At 40.3% G+C, this 20,511-nt stretch overlaps 1 protein-coding gene and 1 pseudogene across 3 annotated transcripts in view, besides 5 other annotated features; one reads left to right on the top strand and one right to left on the bottom strand.

Moving 5' to 3' along the window:
• The window catches only part of RCL1 (RNA terminal phosphate cyclase like 1), a 68,123-nt gene that overhangs the window by 43,478 nt on the left and 4,134 nt on the right, over window positions 1–20,511 (bottom strand). The window lies entirely within an intron of this gene.
• Window positions 1,859–2,008: an enhancer, noted in NCBI's record as "active region_28152". NCBI's record gives its function as "activates an Ori minimal core promoter by ATAC-STARR-seq in GM12878 lymphoblastoid cells {active_cell/tissue: GM12878}" and the evidence as "EXISTENCE:reporter gene assay evidence [ECO:0000049][PMID:35858748]".
• Window positions 12,531–13,030: an enhancer, noted in NCBI's record as "H3K4me1 hESC enhancer chr9:4804559-4805058 (GRCh37/hg19 assembly coordinates)". NCBI's record gives its function as "activates a minimal SCP1, AML or CMV promoter by ChIP-STARR-seq in primed H9 embryonic stem cells {active_cell/tissue: H9 hESC(primed)}" and the evidence as "EXISTENCE:reporter gene assay evidence [ECO:0000049][PMID:30033119]".
• KLF4P1 (KLF4 pseudogene 1) lies at window positions 12,555–13,798 on the top strand (annotated as a pseudogene).
• Window positions 13,031–13,532: an enhancer, noted in NCBI's record as "H3K4me1 hESC enhancer chr9:4804057-4804558 (GRCh37/hg19 assembly coordinates)". NCBI's record gives its function as "activates a minimal SCP1, AML or CMV promoter by ChIP-STARR-seq in naive and primed H9 embryonic stem cells {active_cell/tissue: H9 hESC(naive and primed)}" and the evidence as "EXISTENCE:reporter gene assay evidence [ECO:0000049][PMID:30033119]".
• Window positions 19,006–19,300: an enhancer, noted in NCBI's record as "tiled region #12609; K562 Activating DNase matched - State 5:Enh". NCBI's record gives its function as "activates a minimal TATA promoter and a strong SV40 promoter by Sharpr-MPRA in K562 cells {active_cell/tissue: K562}" and the evidence as "EXISTENCE:reporter gene assay evidence [ECO:0000049][PMID:27701403]".
• Window positions 19,222–19,271: an enhancer, noted in NCBI's record as "active region_28151". NCBI's record gives its function as "activates an Ori minimal core promoter by ATAC-STARR-seq in GM12878 lymphoblastoid cells {active_cell/tissue: GM12878}" and the evidence as "EXISTENCE:reporter gene assay evidence [ECO:0000049][PMID:35858748]".

The following is a 20,511-nucleotide window of genomic DNA, read 5'->3' as shown; positions in this document are numbered from 1 at the left end:
GGCAGGAGGATCCCTTGAGCCCAAGAGGTTGAGGCTGAAGTGAGCCATGATGGAGCCACTGCACTGTGGCCTGGATGACAGAGCCAGACCCTGTCTCAAAAAAGAAAAAAAAAAAAAGATTAAAAAAAAATCAAGCTAATTAACTGAGAACATACAACATAAATCGACCACTTTACTTATTTGTAAAAGGAAATAAGATAGGACTCAATAAAATAAAAAATAAAAAACATATAATTAATTAAAAAGATTAAGAGCTTTATGGTAAACGATTCTCCATTAGTTACCAATATATTTGGAATTAAGATAGAAAGCTATGTAAAAAATGACAAACCAAAACAAATAAATGAAAAGGACACAAAAGGACCTAAAAAGAAGACAAGAAGAATTTTTTTCAAATAATAAACAGAAAAGGTCGCTGATGAAGTCACTGTAAGTTTTTTTTCCCCAACATTCAAAGAAAAAAATAATTATTGGCCGGGAACAGTGGCTCACGCCTGTAATCCCAGCATTTTGGGAGGCCGAGGCAGGCGGATTACAAGGTCAGGAGATTGAGACCATCCTGGCTAACACGGTGAAACCCCGTCTCTACCAAAAATACAAAAAAATTAGCTGGGCATGGTGGCAAGTGCCTGTAGTCCCAGCTACCTGGGAGGCTGAGGCAGGAGAATGGCGTGAACCTGGGAGGCAGAGCTTGCAGTGAGCCGAGATCGCGCCACTGCACTCCGGCCTGGACGACAGAGCGAGACTCCATCTCAAAAAAATAACAATTATTATTATTATTACCCAAAGCACAAAAAAGAATGTGTAAAGATGGCTATTGTAGTATAGTTAAGAACATCACTAAAAAACATCAGAATTACAAACTAATCTCATTTAATGAGAACAGATGAAAAATCTTAAATAACATCTCAGAAAGTATGTTATTCTTAAATTACACATTTTTAAAATTACTACTGTGATTAAGAAAGATGCATCCCAAAAAGGGCTGCGGATAAAGCACAAGGAAAACAACAACATTAATTAAATATAATATTATATAAGCAGGGGGAAAAATTCAACTAACTGGCTTAATTATTCCAGAAAAACCACCTGATAAAATTTGGTATCTATTTCTCAGTCAAATTCTATTTTAAAAAGAATGGCAAATGAGTTTGCTAAATGTAACACAGAGTTTATATTTTAAAACAGAAGACTTTAAAGTTCACAGAGAATGTATCTTCATGGTAAAAGGATAGGCAAGATTTATAAATTGGATATTAAAACTATGAAGTATTGTTTATCAAAAGACTACACTGAAAGTGTCAAAAGACAAGTCAGAGTGGAATAACATATGTGCAATCCTTTAACATATCCAGAATATACCAATGAATCAACAATTAAATAAGAAAAAGACAGAAAAATGAGCAAAATATCTGAATGGAGACTTCATAAAAGAGGATATCCAACTGACCAATACATCAAAGAAAAGGTGCTCAGATCAAGATGGCCAGCTAGAAATCCTTCACAAAGACGGCCAAAACAACAATTAAACAACTAGACTTTAACACAAATAACTGAGGAAGGGTGCCAGAGTGCATCAGAAGAGTTTATAAAAGAAACTCGAGATGACCACAGAGAGAGCAGAAGGAAATGCCAAGCTTCTATCACCCCAATCCCCAATCAGGATCAGCTGGGAACCAAAAGGACTTCTCCCTGCTGCAAGGAGGTAAGGAAGAGGATCCTAGCGATCCCTATCAATACCTTAGACACTTACAGACCTCACCACTGAGGAACCCTGCAGTCCTCATAGGCCTAAGCTGCCTGGAGTATACATACGTAGCTGTGCTCCCCACAGAGAAGGAGTCAACACCGTGCCCAGCTCCCTGTGGCCTGCGCTACACTATCCTGGAATTAGAACTATGGCTGGAGTGTGTCTTGCTCCAGGAGCAAGCAGCAAAAACTCCCCTTTTCCCGTGAGGATACACCCTAGACCAGTGGCCCAACATCCTCAAGCCGAGCTTTAAGCGGCTACTGTACCTTTCAGCATGGTGCCAAATGAAGATGGAGCCACTCCACCTACCCCTACCCCACCCCACTGGGCCAGATCTGATGCTTCCTGGATAAATTTTAAAATTTGCAGTTGCAAAAAAAAAAAAGAAAAGAAAAATACTGCAGCTTAAGACTTCAATGAATGAAATAAATATAATAGAACTAAAATAGCAGACATGATCAAGCATAAGACACAAATCTCTGAACTTGAAGATAAGTCTTTCAAAATTACCTACTCAAAGAAATAAGAAATGAGAATGAAAATGAAATGAGAACACCTACAAGACTTACAGGAAATCATTAAGCAAACAAATGTTCATGTTATGAAAGTTCCAGGAGGAGAAAAAAGGAAGCACAGAAAGCCTGCCAAATGAAATAGGTGAAAAGCTCCCAAGGCTGATAAGAGGTATGAACATACAGATCTAGGAAGCTCAAAGGTTCCAAAATAGATTCAACCCAAAAGGGTCTTCCCAAGGCATATTAATAGTTAAACTGTCAAAAGTGAAAGATAAAAAGAGAATTCTAAAAACAGCAAGAGAAAAAGGCATCAAGTTAATACAAGGAAATCCCCATTACACTAAAAACAGATTTCTCCAGAGAAACCTTATAGACCATGAGAGAATAAGATGATATATTCAAAATGCTGAAAGAAAAAAAAAACGTCAACCAAAAACACTATACCCAAAAAAGCTATCCTTCAGAAATGAAGTCTTTCCCAGACAAGCAAAAACTGAGGAAATTCATTACTATTAGCCAGGCCTTACAAGAAATGCTCAAGAAGGTCCTACATCTAGAAATGAAAAAATGATAATCACTACCATGAAAAAACATGAAAGTATAAAACTCACTGGTAGAACAAATACACAAAGGACAAAGAGAAAAAAATCAAACCTTATCACTATAGAAAACCATCAAACTGCAATGACAAACAATAAGACGGGAAGAAAAAAAGGAGACACGAATCAACCAGAAAACAATTTTTATAAGGACAGGAGGCTAAGTACTGTGGCTCATGCCTAGAATCCCAACACTTTGGGAAGCCAAGGCAGGAGGATGATCATGCCCAGGAGTTGGCGACCAGCCTGGGCAACAAAGCGAGACCGCCATCTCTACAAAAAATACAAAAGCCGGGCATGGTGGCAAACACCTGTAGGGAGACCAGGCCGGAAAGATTGCTTGAGCCCAGGAGTTCAAGGTTGCAGTAAACTATGCTTGTATCACTGCACTTCAGCGTGGGCAACAAAGTCAGACCCTATCTCTAAAAAAAATTTTTTTAAATTTCAAAACCCCCTCATGATAAAAACTCTTACGTTAGGTATAGAAAGAACACACCTCAACACAATAAAGGCTGTATATGACAAACTCACAGCTAACATACTGAATGGGGGAAATTTTATTTTATTGTATTTTTTTAAATTATACTTTAAGTTCTAGGGTACATGTGCACAACGTGCTGGTTATATATGTATAAGTGTGCCATGCTGGTGTGCTGCACCCATTAACTCGTCATTCCCCCCACCCCATGACAGGCCCCGGTGTGTGAAGTTCCCCACTCTGTGTCCAAGTGTTCTCATTGTTCAATTCCCACCTATGAGTGAGAACATGCAGTGTTTGGTTTTCTGTCCTTGCGACAGTTTGCTCAGAATGATGGTTTCCAGTTTTATCCATGTCCCTACAAAGGACCTGAACTCATCATTTTTTATGGCTGCACAGTATTCCATGGTGTATATGTGCCACATTTTCTTAATCCGGTCTATCACTGATGGACATTTGGGTTGGTTCCAAGTCTTTCCTATTGTGAATAGTGCCGCAATAAACATACGTGTGCGTGTGTCTTTGTAGCAGCATGATTTATAATCCTTTGGGTATATACCCAGTAATGGGATGGCTGGGTCAAATGGTATTTCTAGTTCTAGATCCTTGAGGAATCGCCACACTGTCTTCCACAATGGCTGAACTAGTTTACACTCCCACCAACAGTGTAAAAGTGTTCCTATTTCTTCACATCCTCTTCAGCACCTGTTGTTTCCTGACTTTTTAAGGATCGCCATTCTAACTGGTGTGAGATGGTATCTCACTGTGGTTTTGATTTGCATTTCTCTGATGGCCAGTGATGATGAACATTTTTTCATGTGTCTGTTGGCTGCATAAATATCTTCTTTTGAGAAGTGTCTGTTCATATCCTTTGCCCACTTTTTGATGGGGTTGTTTGATTTTTTTCTTGTAAATTTGTTTAAGTTCTTTGTAGATTCTGGATATTAGCCCTTTGTCAGATGGGTAGATTGCAAAAATTTTCTCCCATTCTGTAGGTTGCCTGTTCACTCTGATGGTAGTTTCTTTTGCTGTGCAGAAGCTCTTTAGTTTAATTAGATCAAATGGGGGAAATTTTAAAGCTTTTCCTCTAAGATCTGGAACAACTCAAGGATGCCTACTATCACCACTCCTACTGAACATAGTACTGGAAGTCCTATCCTAGCCAAAGCAATTAGGCAAGACACAGAAATAAAGGGCATCCAAATCGGGAAGGAGGAAGTTAAGCTGTTCCCGTTTGCAGACAACATGATCTTATATATAGAAAACTCTTAAAGTACTGCCATGAACTCCTAGAACTGATAAACAAATTCAGTAGTTCTAAGATATAAAATCAATACACAAAAATCAGTAACATTTTTACATACTAACAATGAATTAGCAGAAAAAGAAATCAATAAGCAATCGCATTTACAAGAACTAAAAAAAACCATAAAATACCTAGAAATAAATTTAACCAAGGAAGTGAAAGCTCTCTAAAAGGAAAACTTTAGGACACACACAAAAAAAATGGAAACACATTCCATCTTTATCTACAGATTCAATGCAATCCCTATCAAAATACCAATGAGATTATTTACAGAAACAGAAAAAAAAACCTAATATTCATATGGACCCGCAAAAGACCTTTAACAGCCAAAGCAATTCTGAGAAAAAAGAACAAAGCAAGAGGCATTACACTACGTGACTTTGAAATATACTACAAACTTTGTAATCCCAGCCTTTCAGGAGGCCAAGGCAGGAGGATCGTTTGAGCCCAGGAGATTAAGACCAACCTGCACAATATAGTGAAACCTCGTCTCTATTTCTAAAATTTAAAAATATACATAATGGTCCTGGGAAAACTATAGCCATATGCAGAAGAAAGGAACTAGATGCCTACTCTCATCATATTAAAAAAAAAAATGAACTTAAAGACTTAAATGTAAGATCCAATACTATGAAACTACTAGAAGAAAACATTAGGGAAGCATTACAGGACGTTTACTCTGGGCAAACATTTTCTGGAGAAGACCTCAAAAGCATAGGCAACAAAAGAAAAACTAGGCAAAAGCAAAAGGGATTACAACAAACTAAAAAGCTTCTGCACAGCAAAGGAAACCATTGGAGTGAAGCTATGAAAGAAAAATACAAACTATCCATCCAACAAGGGATTAATAACCAGAATATACAAGGAACTCACCAGTACACACACAAAAATACAAATAATCCAATTTTAAAAGTCAGCAAAAAAGCTGAATAGACATCCCTCAAAAGACATACAAATGGCCAACAGGTATATGAAAAAGTGCTCAGCATCACTAATTATCAGGGAAATGCAAATCAAAACCCCAATGAGATATCATCTCACCCCAGTTAGAATGGCAATTATTAAAAAGACAAAAAATAACAAATGATGGCAAGGATACAAAAAGAAGGAACTTAAATACACTGTTGGTGGAAATGTAAATTAGTATAGCCATTATGGGAAACAGTACAGATATTCCTCAAAAACTAAAATTGAACTACCATATGATCCAGCAATCCCATTACTAGGTATATACCAAAAGGAAAGAAATCAATGTCAATGAGATATCTGCACTCTCAGGTTTATTAAACCACTATTCACAAACACATACATAACGGAATACTGTTTAGCTATAAAAAAGAACGAAATTCTGTCACTGGCAGCAACATGAAGAGGCTTTTGTAGAACATTATGTTAAGTAAGATAAGCCAGACACAGAAAGATAAATACCACATATCTTGTGGAAGCTAAAAAAGTTGATCCCATAGCAAGTAGAGGATAGAATAGTGGTTACTAGAGGCGGGGAAAGGGAGGGGAGAAGGAAGGATAGCCAAAGGCTGGTTAACAAATATAAAAGTACAGGTAGATAAGAGAAATAAGTTCTAATGTTCTATAGCACTATAGAGTGACCATAATTAACAATAATTTACTGTATATTTTCTTTTTTCCTTTTTTTTTTTTTTGCAAAGATACAGGGTTTTGCTCTATTGCCCAGTGCAGTGGTGTGATCATGACTCACTGCAACCTCCAACTCCTGGGCTCAAGTGATCCTCCCACCTCAGCCTCCTGAGTAGCTGGGACAATAGGTGTGCACCACCACACCTGGCTAATTTTTTATTTTTATTTTTGTGGAGATGGGGTCTGCTATGTTGCCCAGGCTGGTGTATATTTTCAAATAGCTAGAACAGATTTTGAATGTTTTCAGCACAAAGAAATGTTTGAGGTGATGGATATGCTAACTACCCTGATTTTATCATTATATACTGTATACATGTATCAAAATATCACACTGTGCCCAATAAATACTAAATACCTACAATTATTTGTGATCATTAAAAACAATGAAAGCAAAAGAAAGGGTGCTCAGTCTCATTAGTCACAGGGTAATATAAATTAAAACCACAATGAATGACTACAATACACCTACAAAACTGGTTAAAATTAAACAGACTGGCAATACCAAGTGCTGAATAGGATGTGGAGTAACTAGACCTCAGATATATTTACAGTCACTTTGTACAACCACTTGGGAAAACTAAACATAGGCACACCCTACGATCCAGCATTCAGGCAAGAGACATACACATATATGTGCACAAAAGACTGTACAAGAATATTCTTGGTATCACTGTTTTTAATAGTTAAAAGTGGAAACAAGCCAAATTTTCATCAAAACTAAATTGTGGCACATTAAAAAAACAGAATAACATGACGTAGTAAAGAAAGTCAACAAACTGCTGCTACAACACGGAGATATGTCACAAATACAACAGAGCTAAAGAGGCCAGGCACACAAACAATTACGTACTATATGATTCCATTTACAAAAATTATAGTTAATATTTTAGAAACCTAATCCATGGTGTTAAAAATTTAATGCTTACCTTGGCAGTGGGAGGGAATGGTGTGGCTGGGCACAAGCATGGGAGGATGCTGGCATACTGTTTCTTTTCATGGGTAATAGCTACATCGGTATGTCCACAGTAATAACTCATCAAACTGTACATTTATTGGTTACGCACTTTTCTTAATATATGGTACGCTTCGGTAAAAATTTACTTAAAAAAATGAAAAACAAAGTTGAAAGAAAAAATACCTTTAAAAATACGAAAACTGGCAGGATGCGGTGGCTCAGGCCTGTAATCTTAGCACTTTGGGAGGCCAAAGCAGGCAGATCACTTGAGGATCACTTGAGGCCAGGAGTTCGAGACCAGCCTGGCCAACATGGTGAAACCCCATCTCTACCAAAAATACAAAAATTAGCTGGGCATAGTGGTGCACATCTGTAATCCCAGCTACTTGGGAGGCTGAGGCACAAGAATCGCTTGAACCCAGGAGGTGGAAGTTGCAGTGAGCCAAGATCACGCCACTGCATTCCAGCCTGGGTGACAGAGTGAGACTCCATCTTGAAAACAAACAAAAAGCAAAGAAAAAACCCAATCATGTCTCTAACTTCATGACACAGAAAAGCCATTAAAGGTATCTCAAGAAAAAAAGTAAAAGAAGATATCAATACAGGGAAGAAATATCAATTAAGGGAAAGGCTATGTTGCCAGTTAATGAAGAGAATTTCATATATTTTGATTCGATCTCGCATTCCATTTTTTCTATTTCTTTTTTAAAAAGCATAGTCTTGGCCGGGTGCAGTGGCTCACGCCTGTAATCCCAGCACTCTGGGAGGCCGAGGCGGGCGAATCACAAGGTCAGGAGATCGAGACCGGCCTGGCCAACTTGGTGAAATCCCGTCTCTACTAAAACACAAAAAATTAGCCGGGTGTGGTGGCACATGCCTGTAGCCCCAGCTACTTGGGAGGCTGAGGCAGGGGAATCGCTTGAATCCAGGAGGCGGAGGTTGCAGTGAGCCAAGATCTTGCCACTGCACTCCAGCCTGGCGACAGAGCAAGACTCCATTTAAAAAAAAAGCAAGAAAAAAAAAAGGAGTCTCTAGCCAAGCAATTTCACATCTATGACTCTACCTATGGAAACAGAAGAATGTTAGGATATATGTAAGAAAACTTTACTGCTGCTTTATTTAATGACAAACACTGAAGATTACTGAGTATCTATAGCTAAGGGAATGGTTAAATAAATTGGTATGTCTGTATTATGGAACAGTCTGTAGCCATTAAAAAAAAAACCTTAAGAAGCTCATATACTGCAATGGAATAATGATAATATTCTTGTGCTTTAAAAAAAAAGTGCACATATAGAAAAAGGTCTGGAAGACTGCTTCTTGGGAATATGATTGGTGAGCAACACAGCAAGAGTTAAGTAGCCAGAGGCAATAAAGGATGTAACCTGCACAGATTACTTTCAGTTTTAAATCATTAAGAGTTGTTCCCCCAAACAAACATGTATTACTTTTATAATATAAAAATGAAATCAAAAACTTCTTTGCCCTCTATCTTCAAACTTTTCTAGATATCATGCTTTGCTTATATGAGAATCCACATTACCCTTGATTGTGATAATTTTCACAATCAAGGGCAACCTAATCCTCTGATTTATGCTGCTTTTACTGCCTTTCAAGTTTTTTATACCTGAACTCTTCAATACTAGTCCTCATGAACACAATGGAAGAAAGTAATCCCTCTCTATCCCTATTTTACTAGAGCATTTCTTTCACCCTAAAAAACTACTAGACAGTGGTTCACGCCTATAATCCCAGCACACTGGGAGGCCGAGGCAGGTGGATCACTTGAGCTCAGGAGATCCGAGACCAGCCTGGGCAACATGGCGAAACCCTGTCTCTACAAAAAATACAAAAATTAGCCAGGCATAATGGCGCACACCTATAGTCCCAGCTACTTGGGAGGCTGAAATAGGAGGATCACTTGAGCCCAGGAGGTGGAGGTGGCAATGAGGCGAGATCACACCACTGCACTCCAGCTTGGATGAAAGAAGGAGACCCTGTCTTAAAAAAAATAATAAAAAATTAAAAAATACTAGAGACAGAGTGATACATTATATAATAAAAGAGTCAATGTAGCACTAAGAGGATGTTAGCAATCCTAAATGTATCAAACTAAGCTGTAAAATATGCAAAGAAAAATTGATAGAAATGAACAAGAAACAAATCCACAATTATTGTCAGCGACCCCTCTCTCAATAATCAATAGAACTAGACAGAAAAATCAGCAAGGACAAAGAAGAACTCAGCACCACCATGAACCGATAGGATCTAATCAACATTTATAGAGCACTCCACCCAACAAGAGAAGAACATATATTTGTTCTAAGTGTCCACAGAATATACACCAAGATAGACTATATCTTGGACCATTAAAAAAAACTCAATAAATTTAACAGAACTGAAATCATACAGAGAATGTTTTCTGACCGTAATGGAATGAAATTAAAATCAATAGCAGAAAATATCCAAACACATGGAAACTAAACAACAGACTTATAAATGACCCATAGCTGCCAGGCGCGGGGGCTCACGCCTGTAATCCCAGCATTTTGGGAGGCTCAGGCAGGCGGATCACCTGAGGTCAGGAGTTTGAGGCCAACCTGACCAACACGGAGAAACCCTGTCTCTACGAAAAATACAAAATTAGCCAGGTGTGTTTGTGCATGCCTGTAATCCCAGCTACTCAGGAGGCTGAGGCAGGAGAATCACTTGAACCCGGGAGGCGAAGGTTGTGGTGAGCTGAGATCATGCCATTGCACTCCAGCCTGGACAACAAGAGTGAAACTCTGTCTCAAAAAAATAAAAATAAAAATAACCATAGGTCAAAGGATAGGAGTTTCAAAGAAAATAAAAATTACGTTGACCTAAATGAAAACTAAAATGAAATATACCAAAATTTATGGGATACAACTAAGGCAATGTTGAGACAAAAATGTAATTGCTTTAAATACATACACTAGGAAACAGAAAAAGTTCCCAATAATCTATGCTCCACCTCAAACACTTAGAAAAAGAGCAAAATAAACTCAAAGCAAGTGAAGGAAGGAAATAATAAAGAACAGAAATAAATTGAAAACTGAAAAGCAAGATAGAAAAATCAGAGAAACACAGAACCGGGTCTTTAAAGAGATCAATAAAATTGACAACGTCCAGCAAGACTGAACTAAAAGGTGAGGACACAGACAAGACACCCCCACGCCCCCACAGACAAACACAATTAGCAACATCGGGAATAAAACAGGAGATATCACTACAGATCCTGCAGACATCAAAAGGATAATAAGGAAACACTGTAAACTCTACACATATTAATTCAACAAGTTAGATGAAACGGACCACTTCTTCAAAAAACACAAACTACCACAACTTACACATACAAAATACATCACTTGAATAGCCCTATAAACATTCAGGAAATGAAATGCATAATCTAAAAACTCCCAAAAAAGAAATCTCTTGGCCCATATGAAATTCTGCCAAACATTTAAAGAATTAAAAACAATTCTACACAATCTCTTTCAGAAAACAGGAAACTTTCCAATTGATTTAATTTAAACTAGCGCTACCCTGATACCAAAACCAGACCAAAGCAGCACAAAAAAAAAACTACAGAGCAATATTGCTCACGAACATACAAACAAAAGTCCTTAACAAAACATTAGCAAATAAAATTCAGCAATATATATGTAAGTATATGTGTGTGTGTGTGTGTGTGTGTGTGTGTGTGTGTGTGTGTGTGTGTAGATCAAGTAGAATCTATTCCAGGAATGCAAGGCTGGTTCAATATTTAAATATCAATCAAGGCAATACACCATATTTATAGGCTGAAGAAGAAAAATCACATGGTCACATCAACTGGTGCAGAAAAAGCATTGGACAAAATACAACACTCATTCATTGTTTAAAAAGACACTTAGAAAAACTGTTATAAAAGATTACTTTCTCAACTTGACTTTTTAAAATCTACATAAAACATATAGCTAACATACTTAGGGGGATGCTTTCCCCCTAAGATAGGGAACAAGGCAAGGATGTTCCCTCCCACCCATTTTACTTAACATGGTGCTAGAAATTCTAGCCAGTGCAATAAGGCAGAAGGAAATAAAAGGCGTACATATCAAAAATGAAGAAATCAAACTGTTACTATTTGTAGACAACATGACCAGCTACACAGAAAATAAATTCCAAGGAAATGACAAGGGAAAAAAAAACCTCCTAAATAAATTCAGCAATGCTGGAAGATACCAGATAAACATACACACACAAACACACACACACACACAAACACACACACACACACACACACACACACCCCAATGGTATTTCTATATACTAATAATCAACACAGAAACTAAAATTTAAAATATGATACACCATTTACAATTGCTCCAAAAAAACAACATATTTACAAACAATTCTAACAAAACATGTACTGTACTTGTATGCTGAAAACTATATAACAGCAACAAAAGAAATAAAGACTCTGAGTTCCCCAGACTGACAAGGCAAGCACAGCTGCTGGCCTCTGGGGAACAAAGGCAGTGATAGGTAGTGGCAGGCAGTCGCAGCACCAAGAATGGTCAAATGCTCTTCTCACCCCTCCTCCATCCACCAGCATGCACTGCACCACCCGCAAGCCCTCAGCTACACCCACCACTGCCAGTCACCTGACCAGCTACCTGCCCACTGTCCCTGTGCCCATAGCATGAGGGAACTGATGAGTCAAAGAGAGTACAGGCTGGCCACTTGACCTACTTACCCTGCTGATTGTCTATTTCTATAAGAGTTTAGTTTTCTAAAAACTTTTGTATATAAAACTTTTTTTTAAAGCTGTCTCCAACTAATATTTGATCCAAAGAAGGATCCAAAGAAGGATCTCTGGAAATTTGGGGTTTTTTGGTTTTGGCCTTCCCCTTCCCCTTCCCCTTCTCCTTCTTCTTCTTTTTAGAGACAGGCTGGAAGACCCAGGCTAGAATGCAGAAGCATGATCACGGCTCACTGTAACCTGGAACTCCTAGGCTCAAGTGATCCTCCTGCCTCAGCCTCCTCAAGTAGCTGGGACTACAGGTCCCACCTCACCAACCAAAGTTTTTGGTTTTGTTTGTTTTTTTTGTTTTGCTTATTGTTTTGTTTGTTTTCTGTAGAGATGGGGTCTCACCACATTGCCCAGGCTGGAGGCTTCATTTCTAATCTTTCTATCCCCTCTTCATTGGCTTTGAGATACCCCTGCTGCTTCGGGCTCCTGAGGGCCTTCAGGGCCCCACATTAATGAGGCAGCCACCTAGCAAGTCTGACATGGCTGTCAGTGACCCACTGTTCCAGTCTCTCTCCATGTTGCATTCCACCCAACGGGAAGCAGAAGACACCGTCCGGCAGTTGAAGGTGCTCTCCACATAAAGCGACTTCCCCTGGTGCTTCCCAGCCACCCTATGACCTGGTGACAGACTTGGGAGAGCGGCTGAGTTGGCGTAGCTTTCAGTGGTAGCAATGCCACATTCCATGGGAGGAGTCCCATGACCTCATGGACCAGGACTTCATCCCTTCCAATTCGCTGCTCCGGCAGGAGTCAGTGGCCGCCACCGTGTCCTCGCTGGCGTCAGCCGATCGTCCTCCCCACCAGCGCACCGGCCACCGGCCGCTTTGACTAGCCATGCAGGCCAGGGGCATCGGGGCGTTGGACCGGGCAACACCGGCGGAGGCCTCCTCTACAGCCGGGAGTGTGGGCCCCGCCCACAGCTCCCTTCAACCTGGAGGACTTCAACAGCGTGAGACCCCTGGGCGACTGGACGGCAGGGCTCCCGCGCCCAGAACTTAACCCGTGTAAGTTCCACCGCAGCCGGCAGGCTGGCAGGCAAGTTCCATGTGGACAGCGTCAAGGAGTGCCCCTGGGAACGAGTTCGGCAGCTCTTTGGTCTTCAGTGTGAGCAAAGGCAGCCGTGCCGGCACCCACTCAGCAGTGGGGGCACCCTACAGCCGCAGGCCTCCAACGTCTGGCCCATAGAGGCCCACCTGGGCACAGGCCCCGCTTTCAGCAATGCCCAAAGGCGACTTCCCCCCGGATAGCAGCTCCTTTACCAAGACTATTCCGACCCTGGGTCCCAAGGAACTGCTGAGCAGCAGGGACTGTCACCCTGTGCTGCTGCTCCCCTGGGCTTCTGTGCCACCCAGCCCAACTTCCCACTCTTCCTGCCCGACCAGATGTAGCTGCAGGTCTCGCTGCTCCGTTACCAAGAGCTCGTGGCACCCTGTTCCTGCATCTTGGAGGAGCACAAGCCAAAAAAGATCACTACCCACACTTGGGATTACATAGGCAGCGGCAAAACCTACACAGACAGCTCTCGCCTCAAGAAACACCGCAAACCTACACAGATGAGAAACCTTACCACTGGGCCTGAGATGGCCGTGAGTGGAAATCTGTCCTCTCAGATGAACTGACCAGGCACTATTGCCAACACACAGGGAACAGCCCGTTCCAATGCCAGAAGTACAACCCTGCATTTTCCAGGTCAGACTGCCTTGCCTTCCACATGAAGCACTTTTAAATCACAAACAGTGGATATGACCCACGCCGCCAGAAGAGAATTCAGTAGCTTTTTTTTTTTTACCTTTCACACTGCCTCCCCAGTGAGAAGAGGAGGCCACCTGGGAAGCACTACAATCATGGTCAAGTGCTGAACTCAGTCAACTTGTGAGTGAATAATCAAGAAAAATTAGGAATCCAAAAGATAAAAATCAAAGAACAGTTGGGATCTGTGATTGGATCTACTATCACTCCAATTCTAAATCCAACTTGAATATTCCTGGACTTAGAAAACACCAAGCAGGTGACTGGAAGTTGTGGATATAAGGGTATACATGAAATCCCTAAGTTGAGGGGAGGGAAAACTAGAATTCCCTTGAATTGTGTTTTAATACGATATAAGCATGAAGATCACCTTGTATTCTCTTTGCCTTCTAAAAATCATTATTATGATGTTAGAAGAAGAAATTCAGATACAGAAAATGTGTGTTAATATCCTAAATAATGGTGCTTGGTTAGTCTTGGTTCTAAAAGCACTAAACAAGGAAGCCAAAGTTCTGAAACTGCTGCATACTTTGACAAGGAAAATCTACTTTTGTCTTCTGATCTACATTTATGACCTAAGTAAGATAAATAAGCCTTGTTTATGTCTTTAACATTTTGGTCAGATGCAGTGGCTCAACACCTGTAATTCTGACGCTTTGGGAGGCCAAGACAGGAGGACTGCTTGAGCCCAGGAGTTCCTAGACCAGCCTGGACAAAACAGTGAACCCTAACTCTTAAAAAAAAAAAAAGGAAAAAGGAAAAAGAAAAAGAAAAAAATTACCCAAGTGTGGTGGTACACACCTGTAGTCCTAACTACTCAGGAGGCTGAGGCAAGAGGATTGCTTGAGCCCAGGAATTCAAGGTTGCAGTAGGCTAAGGTCGCACCTCTGCACCCCAGCCTGTGCGACAGAGCAAGACCCTGTCTTAAAAAAACAAAACAAAACAAAACTTACCATTTTTTGTAGTTTGTTATGCACTGTGGTTTCAGATGTGCAATAATTTGTCAAATGGTTTATTCCCAAGTATGCTTAAGACAGAATAAAATTTTTTTCTATGTAGTTACCTGCCTTAATAAATATGTAATAAAAATTTAAGTAAACTACTTCCGTATATTTGTAAATAACAAAGTAAAAAAAAATGAACATTTTGTAAACATTGAAAAATGAACATTTTGTGAACAAATGAACATTTCTCATCTCAGGATGAGAATTATGTTTTAAATAAACCTATAATATTTCATCTGGGGAAAAGAAACAGATTTAAGTAAGTAGAGAGACAGATCATGTTCATGGATTAAAACCTCAACATAATAAAGACGACAATTATCCCCAAATGGACATATGGGTGTAATATAATTCTTGTCAAAATATTGGAAAGCTTTTTTGTATATTAGACAAGATTATTCTAAAATTTATATTGAAAGGCAAAGGAACTAGAATAACTAAAATGATTTTGAAAAACAAACTGGGAGGAATCAGTCTAACCAACTTCAAGACTCATTAGACAGCTACAGTAAGTAATCAAGACTGTGTGATATACTGGCCAGGAGCTGTGGCTCACACCTATAATCCCAGCACTTTGAGAGCCCAAGGCGGGTGGATTACTTGGGCTCAGAAGTTCGAGACCAGCCTGGCCAACATGGTGAAACCCCGCCTCTACAAAAATACAAAAAAAAAAAAAAAAAAAAAAATAGCCAGGCGTGGTGGCACACACCTATAATCCCAGATGCTCGGGAGACTGAGACAGGAGAATCGCTGGAACCTGGCAGGCGGAGGCTGCAGTGAGCCAAGATTGCACCACCGCACTCCAGCGGCAACAGAGCGAGATTCCGTCTCAAAAAAAAAGAAAAAAAGACTGTGTCGTGTTGGCAAGAGACAGACATATAAATCAATGGAACAGAATGGAGAACCCAGAAAGAGATCCACACAAAAATGCTGAACTGATTTTGTACAAAGGCACAAAAGCAATTAAATGGAAAAAAGATGCCGTTTCAACAAATGATGCTTGGGCAATTGGCTTTCCATAGGCAAAAAAAAAAAAAAAAAAGAATCGCAACCCAAGTCTCGCACCTAAAGCTAGGCAAAGAGTTCTTAGACTTAACACTAAAAGCACTGCCACAAAAGAAAAAAATCATAAATTCTACATCATTAAAATTAAAATATTTTCCTCTGGAAACCATATTAAGATAATAAGAAGACAAGGTGCACAGTGGGAGAAAATATTAACAAACTACAAATCTGCCAAAAGACTAGCATATATAAAGTAGTCTCAAAAGCAACAGTAGAGGCCAGGCACCGTGGTTCACACCTGTAATACCTTAGGAATTACACCTTGGAAAGGTGAGGCAGAAAGATGGCTTGAGGCCACAAATTCAAGACCAGCCTGGACAACATAGCGAGACTCCATCTCTACAAAAAGTTAAAATATTAGCCGGGCATGATGGTATGTGCCTGTAGTCCCAGCTACTCGGGAGGCTGAGATGAAAGATTTGCTTACGCCCAGGAAGCTGAGGCAGTAGTGAGCCATGATCGTGTCACTGTACTCAAGCCTGGATGAAAAAGCAAGACCCTATCTCAAAAAAACAAAACAAAACAGTTAATACAAACAATCCTATTAGAAATGGACAAAAGACTTGGAAAGATGTTTCACTTAAGACATCATTAGTCATTTGTAATACGCAAATTAAGACCACCCTGGGGCATCACTACATACCTATCAGAATAAAAGTAGTGACAACACCAAATGCTAGAAAGGATGCAGAGAAACTGAATCCCTCATACACTACAGATAGGAATATAAAATGGTACATCCAGGCCAGTGTGGTGGCTCACGCCTGTAATCCCAGCACTCTGGGAGGCCGAGCCAGGAGGATTACTTGAGGTCAGGAGTTGGAGACCAGCCTGGCCAACACAGTGAAACCCCGTCTCTACCAAAAATATAAAAAATTAGCCAGGTGTGGTGGTGCACACCTGTAATCCCAGCTGCTCTGGAGGCTGAGGCAGGAGAATCACTTGAACCTGGGAGGCGGAGGTTGCAGTGAGCCAAGATCACATCACTGCATTCCAGCCTGGAAGTCAGAGCGAGATTCCATCTCAAAAAAAAAAAAAAAAAATACATCCACACTGGAAAACAGGGCAGCAATATCTTAAAAAACTAAACATGCAACTACCATACAACCCTGCAAGAGCACTCCTGGGCATTTATTCCAGAGAAAGGAAGACTATGTTCACATAAAAAAATAAAAAAACCTGGCTGGGCATGGTGGTGCACACCTGTAATCCCAGCACTTTGGGAGGCTGAGGTGGGTGGATCACCTAAGATCAGGAGTTCGAGACCAGCCTGGCCAACGTGCCGAAACCCCGTCTCTACTAAAAATACAAAAATTATCTGGGCATGGTGGTGGGTGCCTGTAATCCCAGCTACTCGGGAAGCTGAGGTGGGAGAATCGCCTGAACCCGGGAGTGGGAGGGTGCAGTGAGCCAAGATCGTGCCACTGCACTCCAGCCTGGGCAACAGAGCTAGACACCATAAAAAATAAAAATAAAAAAAAAAAGAAAAACCTGTCCACAAATTTTTATAGCAGCCTTATTCGAGATAGCCAAAAACTGGAAACAACCTACATGTTTTTCAACAGGTAAATAAAAAGACTTGTGATCTTTTCATACCATGAAATACTACTCAGCAACAAAAGGGAACAAACTTGATAAAAACATCTTAGATAAATCTCCAGAGAATCATGCTGACTGAAAAAAAGCCAGTCCTTATAGTGACTCTAGATAACCTCAGGCTAATCACACACTCCCATGTGGCAGCAACAACCCATATGAACGTCTGCCATATCAACTTTTGATGATAGTCACCATGCCTACCACGGTGACCATGGGTGACAGGGAATCAGGGTTTGATTCCAGAGTCAGAGTCTGAGAAATGGCTACCACATCCAAGGAAGGTAGCAAGCATGCAAATTACCCACTCCCAACCCAGGGAGGTAGTGACAAAAAATAAAAATACAGGACTCATTCAAGGCCCTTCAAGTTTTTTCTTTTTAAAAATTTTTTTAATTTATAATATAAAATTTAAGAAAACAGAAAAAAGCCAATCCAAAGGTTACATACTATATGATTCCATTTATGGAGCAGTCTTCAAATGACAAAATTACAGAAATTAAAGAACAGATTAGAGACTGACAAGGGTTAAGGAAGAAGTGGGGGAAGGAGGAAACTGAGTGTGGCTACAAAAGAGCAACAGACATGAAGAATCCTTGGAGTGACAGAAATGTTCTGTATCTCACTGTATCAATGTCAATATCCTAGTTCTAACATTGTACCATAGTTTTTCCATATATCACCATTGGGGGAAACTGGATAAAGTACAGACAGGATCTTTCTGCATTATTTATTACAACTGCATGTGAATCTACGATTATCTCAAAATAAAAAGTTTGTTTTCTTAAAAAAGATGGTAGATAGTTCCATCTGAAGTAGCACTTACGGCCAGGCACTGTGGCTCTTGCCTGTAATCTCAGCACTTTGGGACAGTTAGGCAGAAGGCTCACTGGACGCCAGTAGTTTGAGATCACTCTGATCAACATAGTGAGATCCCATCTCTAAGAAAAAGAAGAAAAGAGAAAGAGAGGAAGGAAGGGAGGGAGAAAAAGAGGAAGGAGAGGAAGGGGAGGGAAGGAGAGAAGGAGGGGGAGAGGGATGGGGGAGGGAGAGAGGGGGGAAGGGGGAAAGAAGACAGGGAGGGAGGGAAGGGGAGGGAGAGAGGAAAAGAAAAGAAAAGAAAAGGCAAGGCATTTATACAACAGCTTCCAAACAACACTGTATCTGAAAACTGGTCATTAGGATTCTTGGCATTTGCCTTTAAAAAAAAAAAAAAAAAAAGAAGAAGTCTTATTTTGGGCAGCCAAAAATCATCACTTGGAAGCATACTTTGTCATCAGAGGCACAAAAGGGTATGTTCCTGATTAACAGGACATATTCAATCTACAGTTAGTAGTAAAGTTATCTGTTACGCCCCAAAACCAGTTGTCCATCAAGAATTCTGGGTCCCAAACCAGGCCGAAATAAAATATAGGCACATCCTCCTTTTAAAGGATCCAAGTTAGGAACAGCCAGATTTATTCCCAAAACAATGCACTGGTTTACCAAAACATGTTTTACCTTTCAAAGGACCTCTTTGTGGCATGCTTCCTCAGCACATTTTAAAGGACCCTTTTGATTAAAACTCCACTTAGCTCTTCTTTTTCAGAATCTTATCTGCTTAAGCCATATGGAGCACTCCCCCATGGGACCAAGTAACTCCTCTCAATTTCACAGGGGAAGACACTAAGGCTTAGTTACATGACCTGCTCAGGATCCTGGGTAGTAGCAGTCCTGTCTTCTGACTCCTATGTCACTGCTCTTGTTCAAGTCCATTATTTCTGCTATTCCAACTTTAAACAATTATTCTGGTGGGATTCTCTTCCATTTAGACCTCACATTATACAGAGACTGTTAAACTGAACCCTGCAGGACACAGTCCTCATGAAATCCAGAGATAGAGGCACTTTGGACAGCTGCTTTATAATACTGATGAGGAACACCCAGGTCCATCACGCTGTGAAATGAGAGAGAACAGGTCCTTCAGGCAGGAGCTGGCCACATTCTCTTTCCAGCTCTGTCCCTCACTACACGTTTGTCTTCACCAACTATCTTACCTAACTACGGGTTGGCTTTTTTACCTTGAGTAAAACAGCAGCAACAAGAAAAAATATTTACTTCCTCTTCAATGAAAGGAAGAGTACAATGAGATAAACTTAATTGTTCATGTTCCTCAAAACGGAAGCATAAATTATACATGTGGCTGGACAATTATAATCACCAGCCCGGGACCATCCTTCTTTGGGGTTCAGATTCCTTTCAGTATTTACAACCCCTTTGCAATGGAAGGGGACAGTTTTAAGAGATTCAATGATTTGCCTGAAGTCACAGAGTTTGATCTGTGTCTCATTTGTTTCTAAATCCTTGTGTAGTCTTCTTGGTGTCACATGCTGCTATTCCTAATCATTAGGGATACAGGGAAAAGAAAAGGTTTAATTACTACTGTCAAGTAGGCCAGGGTTTTTCTACATCAGCACTACTGACATTTTGAATGGATAATTCTTTGTTGTGGGAGGCTGTCCTGTAGGATATTTAGCAGCACCCTTGGATTCTAACCACTAGAGGCCAGTAGCATTCCCCTCTGCCAAGCTGTGACAACCAAAAATGTCTCCAAATGCTCCCAAATGTCCCCCACTGAACAAAAGTGCCCCTGGTTGAAAACTACTGTGCTTTACATATAACATAGAAATACGTGGAAACAACCACCTAGGAGAAGAACTTTACAGAAGGCATAATTCTCTTCAAATATCTGAAAAATTTCCATATAGAAGCAGGAACGGATTTGGCATGCCAGGGAGCAGACCTATACCCAGTGGGTTCAAGCTACATAATAATAAAATCAGCTAACATTTATTCTTCCTATGTGCCAGGCACTGTTCAGTACACTTTGAAGTATTATTTCATTTAGTCCTCACAATAACCCTGTGAAGTCAGTAGTACTGGCCCCACTTTACAGGTGAAAAAGTTGAGGCTCAGAAGAGAATAGTTAAAATAATTTGCCCAAGGACCAAGAGCTAATAGCGAAAGGCAGAACTCGTACTCA

The sequence above is a fragment of the Homo sapiens genome, chromosome 9, assembly GCF_000001405.40.
Source record: "Homo sapiens chromosome 9, GRCh38.p14 Primary Assembly".
Classification (NCBI taxonomy): Eukaryota; Metazoa; Chordata; class Mammalia; order Primates; family Hominidae; genus Homo; species Homo sapiens.
This window is presented reverse-complemented; position numbering and strand designations above follow the sequence as displayed.